We start from the raw sequence: 12,117 nt of genomic DNA, 5'->3' as shown, positions 1-12,117 counted from the left end.
CTGGAGGCACCAAATTACCTGACTGCAAATTATACTATAAGGCCACAGTAACAAAAACAGCATGGTACTAGTATAGAGTAGATACATACATCAATGGAACAGTATAGACAACCCACAGATAAAGCCATTTACAACCAAATATTCTTTGACAAAGTATATAAAAACACGAACTGGAGAAAGGACACCTTATTCAATAAATGGTGCTGGGAAAATAGGATAGCCACATGCAGAAGAATGAAACTAGATCCCTATCTCTCACCATATATAAAATAAAAATTAATTCAAGATGGACTAAAGGCCTAAATCTGATGCCTGAAAACATTGGCCTAAGCAAAAGATTTACGATGAAGAACCTAAAAGCAAATGTGACAAATAACTTAACTAATTAATAACTAAACTTTTAATTAAACTGAAAAGTTTCTGCACAGCAAAAGAAATAATCATCTGAGTAAACTAACAACCTATAGAATGGGGGGAAATATTTGCAAATCATGAATTAGATAAAGGACTAATATCTAGAATCTACAAGAAACTCAAATAAGCAGGAAAATACAAATAATTCCATTAAAAAGTGGGCAAATGACATGAATAGACATTTCTCAAAAGAAGATGTACAAATGGTCAACAAGCATATAAAAATATGGCCAATATCACTAATCATCAGGGAAATGCAAAATAAAACAACAATGATATATCACCTCACTGCAGCCAGAATGGCCATTATTAAAAATCAGAAGCAATAGATGTTGGTGTGGATGTGGTGAAAAGAGAACACTTATACAGTGGTGGTGAGAATGCAAATTAGTACAACCTCTATGGAAAACAGTATGGAGATTTCTCAAAGAACTAAAAGTAGATCCTACTATTCAATTCAGCATTCCCACTTCTGGGTATCTACTCAAAGGAAAAGAAATCATTATGTCAAAAAAACACCTGCATGCATATGTTTATTGCAGGACAATTCACAATACGCAAAGATGTGGAAGCAACCTGTGTGCATTAGCTGATGAGTGGAATATATATATATATCACAGAATATTACTCAGCCACAAAAAAGAATGAAATAATGTCTTTTGCAGCAACTTGATGGAGCTGGAGGCCATTATTCTAAGTGAAGTAACTCAGGAATGGAACAACAAATACCACATGTTCTCACTTACAAGTGGGAGCTATGCTACCCATATGTGAAAGCTGACACTGTGGTATAATGACATTGGAGGCTCAGAAGGGAGAAAAGCGTAAGGGCATTGAGAGACAAAAACTACCTATTGCGCTACAATGTATACTATTTGGGTGATGGGTACACTAAAATCCCAGACTTCACCACTACACAATTCATCCATGTAACCAAAAACCACTTGTACTCCTAAAGGTATTGAAATAAAAAAAATTAGAGAGAGAGTAAAAAGAAGAATAAAACTGTATAGCGTTTTTAAAAAGTATTCTGGGTTGAGACAAGTGGCCATTTCATGCTCTGTTGGTTGAACTGTAAAATAACACAAACATCCTTGAGGACAATTTAGAAATATTAATCCAAGGCCTTTTATAAAAAAGTTCTTGTATTTTAACCAAAATAGTCTGTATTGAAGACTTGATTCAAAGTAAATAATTAGAAATGTAGAAAGTGACTTAGATAAAAGACGTTCTGGGCTGTGTATCATGGCTCACGCCTGTAATCCCAATGTTTTGGGAGGCCGAAGCAGGAGGATTGTTTGAAGCCATGACTTAGAGATCATCCTGGACAAGATAGTGAGACCTTGTCTCAATGAAAAACTTAAAAAGTTAGTAGGGCATGGGGGCATGTGCCTGTAGTGCCAGCTACTTAGGAGGTTGAGGCAGGATCCCTTGAGCACAAAAGTTCGAAGTTGCAGTGAGCTATGATCACACTACTGCACTCCAGCCTCAGCGACAGAGCAAAACCCTGTGTCTAAAAATAGTAAGAATAAAAGATGTTCCTCACAGCATTAATTCTAATACAAAATAATTTCAAACCCCAAATTCAATTTGTTAAATATTGAGGTTCCCATATGGTAGACTTCCATACAGCCATTAAAATCACGATTTAAAATATACAATTATTAGAAGAATTCAGTTAAAAATTTGTTACCTTATTTCCAAGAATTTCATATTCCACAAGTACAAGACATTTTCTTCCCATTAAGCCCCAGAGAGTCAACAATTGCAAAAATTCTTACATATCTTTAGTATAGACAGTTAAAATATTTATTTAAAACTCAAACGTCATACCTCAAACTGTAGCGTTCTTGTTCTTGTTCCCATTGACCTTTTTCATGCTCTAACTGTAATTGTGTTTCTTTTGCTTCAGATAGCTCCTTTTGTAGTACACCAACCATATTTTCCATTTGTTTAATATTTACTGTAAGTTGTTCACAATGATTATTCTTAAGTTCTAATAAGTGTTCCCATGAAAGAACTGCATCTTGCATTTTCAATAGGCTAACAGAATCCACATGAGGGAGAAAACAAGGTGGAAATAAAATATGAGTAATTTTTGCATATAAAGGACTGTGCATTTTAACATTCACCCAACCATACACCTAACAAATATGGACTAAGTTCCTAACATGTGGTCTGCTGAGCTTTGCAGATACAACAGACAGTACCTCTGCTCTTGCTTAGCTTTCAGTGTAGTGAAGAACAAAGACAATAAAAGTGAAAATTACAAATTCAGATAGATACTGGAAGAAAACAGTTCTATGGTACATACAATCTGATGTATACTGGGCTCAGGGAAGATTTCCTTGATGAAAAGATGGCTACACTGAGAAATAAAGGATGAGAAGGAAGCAGTTAAGTAAAGGGGGTAGAAGAGCATTCTAGCCAGTCTGTGGTAAGTGCTGAAGCTCTCCTGTAATCTGCTTCTGGCCATGATGGAGAAACAGGTACTGATTTACCTTCTTGTCTGAAACAATCAAAACCAAAAAAGACAAAATACATTATACGATGATTTTCAAGACAGTGGAGTTCAGGTACACTTTGGAAGGCCGAGGCAGGCGGATCACCTGAGGTCAGGAGTTCGAGACTACCCTGGCCAACATGGTGAAACCCCATATCTACTAAAAATACAAAAATTAGCTGGGTGTAGTGGCGCAAACCCATAGTCCCAGCTGATCGGGAGGCTGAGGCAGAAGGACCACTTCAACTCAGGAGGTGAAGGTTGTAGTGAGCTGAGATCGTGCCACTGCACTCCAGCCTGGGCAACAGAGCAAGACTCTCCAGAAAAAAAGAAAGTGACTTCAGGTAACAAAGACAATGATCCCTGTAAGACAAAACAAATGAAGTAAGCCTTACAAACAACCCAGCTCCCTGACTTGACAAAGTTTCCATGCCATGACACAGGGAGAAAAAAAACTGAGGTAGAGTCCACCAGATTCTCTGAGTTGGAATGATGAAGCACAAAAAACCAATAGCAGAGTGATGAACGGTACATGTGTGCTAGGAAACTACCTGAGACCAGGGGAAAAAAATCTTTAAAAAATTAGAAACAGTGAAAAATAGTGCCTGTTGCTCACAATGTGTAAGGAAGAGTGTCCATTCCTATGAGCAATACTGGAAAAACTTGGGATTCACAGGGCAATGAATAGAGTTATTAGAAACACCTTGCCTCAGAAGTGGAAAACTAGACCAAACCATAAAGCAAGACCAGAAATATCAAGCTGTGTATAAGTAACTCAACTGTGTCCCAAAATAAATCTCAAGCAGAGACATGGGAGATATTTTTTGAAAGCAAACTGTATGTGTAGAGATTCAAATTAAAATGTCAGAAATGAAAACTATACTGGATGGAAATAAATACAGACTAAACATTACAAAAGAGAAGATTCATAAATTTGAGACATCAGAGAACTACGAGAAAACTTTAAGCAGTAATATACAGGTCCCCAAAGAGAAAGGGAGAGAGACAGACAAAATATAGAGAGCAGATGGCCAGAAATTTTCTAAACTTAATGAAAACTATAATCCCACAAATCCAGGAAGGATCTGGCTGGGAAAGAGGAAATGAAATTATACTATTCTAATTTCCTTATGCCATATATGATATGGTATAATACTGCCTGAAGGTGATAAGATAAAATCATATAGTACAAATTGTAATGAAATCACAAAGATGGCAAAAACAGACTTATAGCTAATAAGCCAAAAGACAGAGATAAAACAATCATAAAATTACATGACTGGCCAGGTGCAGTGGCTCACGCCTGTAATCCCAGCACTTTGGGAGGCCAAGTGGGGGCAGATCACCTGAGGTCAGGCGTTCGAGACCAGCCTGGCCAATGTGGTGAAAACCCATCTCTACTAAAAATACAAAAAATTAGCCAGGTGTGGTGACAGGCGTCTGTAAATACATCTACTTGGGAGGCTGAGGCAGGAGAATCACTTGAACCCAGGAGGCCGAGGTCGCAGTGAACAGAGATCATGCCGTTGCACTGCAGCCTGGGTGGCAGAGTGAAGCTGCATCTCAAAAAAAAAAAAAAATGGCTAATTGAAAAGAAAGCAGAAAAAGAAGAAAAGAAAACAAAGAACAGCTGGGACTAATGGAAATCAAACAGTATGATAACAGATAAACTTAACTATATCAGTAATCACATTATAAATGAAACCAGCCTAATAACCTAAATTAAAAGGCAGATTGTCAAACTGTATAAAAAAGCAAGATCCTACTCCCTGCTACCTCTAAGAAATACTTTAAATGTAGGCCAGGTGCAGTGGCTCACGCCTGTAATCCCAGCACTTTGGGAGGCCGAGGCGGACGGATCACGAGGTCAGGAGATTGAGATCATCCTGACTAACATGGTGAAACCCCGTCTCTACTGAAAATACAAAAAATTAGCTGGGCGTGGTGGCAGGTGCCTGTAGTCCCAGCTACTCGGGAGGCTGAGGCAGGAGAATGGCGTGAACCCAGGAGGCAGAGCTTCCAATGAGCCAAGATCCCGCCACTGCACTCAAGCCTGGGTGACAGAGCGAGACTCCATCTCAAAAAAAAAAAAAAACTTTAAATGTAAAGATGCAAATTAGTTAAAAGGATGGAAAAATATATACCATGCTAACAGTTAACAAATAAAGCCTAGCAGAAATGGTTATATTAATACCAAAGTAGATTTCAGAGCAAAAAATATTACTAGCTATCAACAAAATTATTTCATAATGATAAATGGTTCAATTAATCAAGAGCACATAATCCTAAATGTTTATGTACCTAGTAACATAACAGCTTCAAAATACATGAGGCAAAAACTGATAGAAGAAATTGACAAATTCACAGGTATAGTCTGAGATTTCAATATCGCTTACTCAATATGACAGAACAAGGAGGCAGAAAATCAGTAAGACTAGAGTAGACTTGAAGAGCACTATGCTTCTCAAGGACCCATGGAACACTTAGCAAAACAGATCATATTCTAGGCCATACAGTAAATCTTCATAAAAGAATTAAGTCAAAAGGATTTAAGTCATACAAACTATGGTCCCTGACCACAGAGCAATCAAATTAGAAATCAGTAACAAAATATCTCATCAAAATACTAAAAAATTTGGAAACAAAGTAACACATATCTAAATAACGCTAGGCCAAAGAGGTGATGCAAAGAAATATTAGAAACTATTTTGAACTGAAATAAAATAAAACTACAACATGTCAGAATTTATGGAATGTAGCTACAACAGTAGTTAAATAAAAAGTTTCAGTACTGAATGTCTATACTGGAAGACTCTCAAATCAATGACCTTGACTTCTATCTTAAGAAAGTAAAAAAGAAGAAACTAAGGAGAAAAGAGCAAATTAAACCCAAAGGAACCAGAGGAAATGATATAATAGACGTCTGCTATGGTCTGAACATTTGTCCTCTCAAAACTCATATGCTGAAACTTGATCACAGAGGTGATATTACTAGAAACTGAGGCTTTGTGGGGGCAATTAGCTCATGGAATCCAAGCCCTCATGAATGGGATGAGTGCCCTTGTATAAGAGACACCAGAGAGCTCATTCACCCATTCTGCCATATGAAGCACACAGGGGAAAACATGGAACCTAGGAACCGGGAATTGGTCCCTCACTAGACACCAAATCTTGCAGCACCTTGATCTTGGACTTTTCAGCCTCCAGGTGTGAGAAGTTAGTTTCTGTTGTTTATAAGCTACACAGTCTATAGTATTTTGTGACAGCAGGCCAAACAAACCATGACATCAAAGATGAAACCAATAAAACAGAAAAGCAATAGGAAAATCAATAAAGCCGAACACTTTGAGGAAGAGAATGAAAGTGATAAACCTCCATCTAGCCAGGCTAATCATAAAAAAGAGAAGATACAAATTACTAATTTCAGAAATAAGTAATGTGACATTTTTCTAGATTCACAGATACTAAAAGAATAGCAAGATAATAGTGTGAGCTTTATGTAACTAAACATGACAACTTAAATGAACACAGCCTTTGAAACACAAAAATAACCAAAGCTCAATCAAGAAATAGATAACCCAATCACTCTATATCTACCAAAGAAAATAAAGTTGTAGGTAAAATCTTCCCACAAAGAAAACTCCCAGCCCAGCTAGCTCTGCTGGTGAATGTTACCAAACATTTTAGGAAGATGGAACATAATTTTACACAACTTCTCCCCTGCAAAATAAAGAGGAGAAACACAACACAACTAATTCTATCATGCTAGCATTACCCTGAACCAAACAATGATATTACAAAAAAGAAAACTCCATCATGAATGTTGACATAAAAATTTAACCAATTTCTGAGGCAACTAAGATATGCTGCAACAGGTGAATGAACAACCTCTGGTACAGTCATATAATAAACTAGTATTCAATGTTAAAAAGAAATGAGCTATCAAGTCATAAGAAGACATGAAGGAACCATAAATGCATACTACCAAGTGAAAGCTGCCAATCTGAAGGGTACGTACTGTATGATTCCAACTATATGACATTCTAGAAAAGGCAAAACTATGACTACAGTAAAAAGTTCAGCAGTTGCCTGGGGTATGGAAGGGCAGGAAAGGACAGACAGGTGAAACAAAAAGGAATTTTAGGCTCGTAGCCCACAGCCCACTGCCGGCGGCTGGGCGCTGCCGAGGCTCGGGGCGCGCGCAGTTGGCGTCTGCCAGTGCCAAGACTGTGCCGCCCCCACAGCCGAGGCGCGAAAGGGGGACGCCCGGCCTCTGGGCCGCTGCCTTCGCTTTCTCTTCGTTGTTGCGAACGCCGTCCGCTCAGGAGGCGCCCCGCGACCGGCGCGATGAGTGCCAACGAGGACCAGGAGATGGAACTAGAAGCATTACGCTCTATTTATGGAGGAGATGAAAGTTTCCGGGAATTAAGTCCAGTTTCTTTTCAACATAGGGTGAAAATGGTGATCCCAAAGCCTTCTTAATAGAGATTTCCTGGACAGAAACATATCCCCAAACACCTCCAATTCTATCTATGAACGCTTTTTTTAACAACACCATATCATCAGCTGTAAAGCAGAGTATATTAGCCAAGCTACAGGAAGCAGCAGAAGCTAATCTTGGAACCGCTATGACCTATACATTGTTTGAATATGCCAAAGACAATAAAGAGCAGTTCATGGAGAATCACAATCCCATCAATTCCGCAACATCGATAAGCAATATCATCTCAATTGAAACTCCTAATACAGCCCCATCAAGTAAGAAAAAAGACAAGAAAGAACAACTTTCAAAAGCCCAGAAGCGTAAGCTGGCAGACAAAACAGATCACAAAGGAGAACTTCCTCGAGGCTGGAACTGGGTTGATGTTGTGAAGCATTTAAGCAAAACTGGCTCTAAGGATGATGAGTAGCACTTGGAATTTGAGACAAGGAAAGAGCATTCTTTAAAGAGTAAAACTGGGTTCAAAATCTTTCATTACTATTTTCTGGTATTGAGGCAACTTTTTATAAAACACAATTTTTTGTATGTTTCTTACATTAAAAAGGTTGTAAGTTGAAAGTTCATGAAGAGATCTTGTTGTATTAAATTATTTTCACAAACTTGCCTTAATAAAAGGTGAAAATGTTACTGTTTAGTATACTTTATGAAGCCCCTTGAGCTTTATAAATGGACAGGCATGGGGAATAAGAATCAGTGTTAATTTAAATGATCTTATCCTGGTGGATGTGCTATTTTCTTAAAGGAGTATGAAGCCCTTTTCAAACTATCATCCCAGTGGAGCGGAGTACTCAGTGAACAGTCACTCCATAGTGCAATCCATATTAATAGCCTTCTTATCTTAAGTCTTCATCTCTTCTTTTGCTTAATTACTGAACCATAAATTACTTCAGAGAAATTTAAATGCTGGTATTTGAACTTTATACATGATACTTTTTGTAGTTTCTTTTAATTTTTGAAAGATGAACTGCTTCCTTTTAATAAATTAATATCTATTTATACTTTTCTCTTGATTTGGGTCAAGATGTTTGATCATGAGTGCTTTGAGTGGTATGTGGAATAGGAGAATATAAAAACAAATCTGCCAAATACACTAGAAAGCATTTTAGTAAGAAATGCTGGCCCTTTCTTAAAACATTTCTCTTGCATATACCAGGATGGGAGTAAAAGATGCCTTAATATTTAGTTTTTGTATTGTTGGAGACATTGATTTTAATAAAATCCTATTTATCTGCTGTTGTGTGCTTTTAGTTGTTGGATAACTGAGGTCTCCTAAATGGTTCAACATAAAACCACATTTCAAGTCTTGTTTCTTTTTGGAGTGTCTTTTCAAGTATTCAAATGTATTTCTCAACCTGAGCATCTTTTTAATCATATACATGGGAGTCTTTTAAATGCTGAACTGTTACACATGCTTGATTTAAAAATAATAATAATAGAGGAAACTATTGGTCTAGTTGTGCCAAGAAAAGTTTCTGATGTTTATGTGTGATGTACAGTGATTTTGTATATGCGCCCAGCTTTAAGAACACATAAAACTATTACGTCTGGTAGGAAGATTGTTAGTGCCTCAAGTTACACCTGTGCAGCTTGGGTCTGAGTTTTGATAGAACAGTAAACATTTAAAGAAGTTAAGAGCAGTTTGAGCTGTATCCGCGGTTTTTACTCGTTAACTGACTTCAGCTAAATAGTTTGAATTATAGAGTAAGTATAATTACAGCAAAGGAGTTAATCTCATTTTCAAAGCTGTTTCTCATTTTATTTCTTGAATTAATGTAGAGCAAAACATGTTAAAATTCAGGACCACTGGAATATGGCAACTTATGTTTCAGGGTTGTGGGTGGGTAGTATTTGTGGTTGTATTGGTTTGTTTTTTGTTTTTGGAGAAACATCTGCTAGTGGAATAAAATACTTTGTTTTGCTCTGAAGAGACTGAAATTGTTCAGGCTTATTATGGCTCATAGATTACAGAGAATGATGCTAGTTACATGCCAATGAACTATTTTTACTCTTTTTATATGAAATGTACAAATTTGTAGGGGTTCTGGTGACGGTGGTACCTCTTATTACCTTATGTAAAACACTTGAACAGCCTCATCAATATTGCCGTCATCTGTTTAACACTCCCAGTATATTTTCTCAATGTCTGTTTACTTAAAATTTTGTGGAGTGACATAATTAATAAGCAATAAAGTCTGAATTATACACAAAAAAAAACCAAAAAAAAAAGGAATTTTAAAGCAGAGAAAATATTTTGTAAAATACTATGATGATGAATACAGGTCTTTGTCCAAACCCACAGAATGTACAACACCAAGAATGAACACTAATATAAACTATGAACTTCGGATGATTATGACATGTCATTTGTGGTTCATCAATCATATCAAATGTACCACTATGGTGAGGCATACTGATAATGAGGGAGGCTATACATGTCTGGGGGCAGAGAGTACCTGGTCGATCTCTGCACCTGACTCTCGATTTTGCTGTGAACTTAAAACTACACTAAAAATGCTTTAAAAATTTTCTAATTGTACTCAATTTATATATATATATATATATATATATATAAAAACTACATATGTAACTCAATTTATATGTACATATAAATTATATATATAATTATTTTTGTAAATAGAAATAGGATGTTGCTTTGTTGCCCAGGCTGGTCTCGAACACCTGCTTCAAGCAATCCTCCTGCCTTGGCCTCTCAAAGTGCTGAGATTACAGGCGTGAGCCACCGTATCTGGCTCCAGTGACATTTTAAAAGGAGACTACATCATAAACAAATTGAGTTTCTCCTAAAATGCAAGGTTTAACATTAAAATATCAGAGTAGAACCATATGATATTTGAGTAAAGGCATTTGATAAAATTTAACATTAATTCTTGATTTAAGAAAAAAAACCTCTCAGCAACCTAAGAATACAAACAAATTTCATCAGCATGATATAAAGCACCTATGATAAACCTACAACTAATGTGTCATGATGAAAAATGTGTCACGATGAAAAACTGAATGCTTTCCCCATATCAGGAACAACACGGGAATGTCTGCTTTCACAACTTTAGTAAATAAACCTTGTGCTGAAGATTCCAGCCAGTGAAGTCAGACAAGAAAAAGAAATAAAAGGCATCCAGGTTGGAAGGAAGAAGTAAAACTGTGTTTATTCACAAGCATGATCACATAATAGGGGTGGGTAAACTCCAACCAATGGGCCAGCTTCTTGTTTTTGTAAATAAAGTTTTATTGGAAGACAGTTGTGTTCATTAATGTATGTATCCTCCCTGGCTGCTCTCATACTACAATGGAAAGTTGATTAGCTGCAGCAGAGACTGTTTTGTGACAAGTCTAAAAAAGATTTCCTATCTTTAGTAAGACAATAGTTTGAGAATGAAAAGTTTTGATAACCTTTGGTGTACACAGAAAATCTGATCAAATCTACCAAAAAAGCTACTAGAACTAATACATGAGTTTAGCAAGATTGGAGGATACAAAAATCAACATACAAAAGCCAATTATATTCCCATATACTAGCAATAAGCAATCAACTGGAATTTTAAAAATATCATGTACAACTTCACCAAAAAAATTGAGATACAGATGAATCTGATAAAATATGGAAAAACCAAGGGCAGGTGCAGTGGCTCATACCTGTAATCCCAGCACTTTGGGTGGCTGAGGCAGGTGGGTCACTTGAGGTCAGAAGTTCAAGACCAGCCTGGCCAACATGGTGAAATCCCCATCTCTACTAAAAATACAAAAATTGGTCGGGCATGGTGGCTCATGCCTGTAATACCAGCTACTTGGATAGCTGGGGCCAGAAAATCATTTGAACCCGTGAAGTGGAGGTTGCAGTGAGCCACAATCACACCACTGCACCCCAGCCTGGGTGACAAAGTGAGTCTCTGTCTCAAAAAAAAAAAAAAAAAAAAAAAAAAAAAAAATATATATATATATATATATATATATATATATATATGTAAAGACATACAAAAAAACTAAAAAATGTTACTGAGAAAATTAAATTTGACCTATATAAATGGAGAGAAACAACTCTACAGGAGTGGAAAGATACATTATTGTTAAAGTGTCAATCCTCCCCCAATTAATCTATAGATTGAACACAATCTTGGTGTAATTCCCAACATAGCAGGCTTTTTAAAAACATTAACAATCTAATTCTAAAATTCATGTGGAAATGCAAAAGATCCAGAATTGTCAAAACAACCCTTAAAAAGGAAGAAAACTGAAGGGCTGATTTCAAGATTTAGTATAAATTTACAGTAATCAAAACAGTGTGATACTGCTGTAGGTGGAGTATCTCTCAAAGTGCTTGGGACCAAAGTGTTTTGAGTTTTTGAATATTTGCATATATATAATGAGATATCTTGGGGATGGAACCCAAGTCTAAACACAAAACACATACATGTTACATACATCTTATACGCAGAGCTTGAAGGCAATTTTATGGAGTACTTTTAGTAAATTTTCAAATGAAAGTTTGTGTACATGAGGTCTAGTGTGAAATTTTCCACTTGTGACATCATGTTGGCACCCAAAAAGTTTTGGATTTTGGAGCATTTCTGATTTTGGAATTTTGGATTAGGGATGCTAGACCTACATAAAGAAAGCCAGATACAGAAGGACCCCAAATTAAGATGGTTCTACTTGCAATTTTTCAACTGTATGATGGGTT

The 12,117-nt window shown here is 36.6% G+C and overlaps 1 long non-coding RNA gene and 1 pseudogene across 1 annotated transcript in view, besides 1 other annotated feature; one reads left to right on the top strand and one right to left on the bottom strand.

Moving 5' to 3' along the window:
- Positions 1 to 12,117, bottom strand: part of LOC101928688 (uncharacterized) — a 68,479-nt gene that overhangs the window by 36,918 nt on the left and 19,444 nt on the right. Inside the window, exon 5 of the long non-coding RNA XR_001745176.2 lies at positions 2,248 to 2,457. This is a non-coding gene — a long non-coding RNA (uncharacterized LOC101928688). The remainder of the gene's footprint in view (positions 1 to 2,247; positions 2,458 to 12,117) is intronic.
- On the top strand, positions 7,061 to 9,624 carry RWDD4P2 (RWD domain containing 4 pseudogene 2; annotated as a pseudogene).
- Positions 7,121 to 7,656: an enhancer, noted in NCBI's record as "H3K27ac-H3K4me1 hESC enhancer chr7:39894264-39894799 (GRCh37/hg19 assembly coordinates)". NCBI's record gives its function as "activates a minimal SCP1, AML or CMV promoter by ChIP-STARR-seq in primed H9 embryonic stem cells {active_cell/tissue: H9 hESC(primed)}" and the evidence as "EXISTENCE:reporter gene assay evidence [ECO:0000049][PMID:30033119]".

The sequence above is a fragment of the Homo sapiens genome, chromosome 7 (genome assembly GCF_000001405.40).
Source record: "Homo sapiens chromosome 7, GRCh38.p14 Primary Assembly".
In the NCBI taxonomy this organism is placed as follows: Eukaryota; Metazoa; Chordata; class Mammalia; order Primates; family Hominidae; genus Homo; species Homo sapiens.
This window is presented reverse-complemented; position numbering and strand designations above follow the sequence as displayed.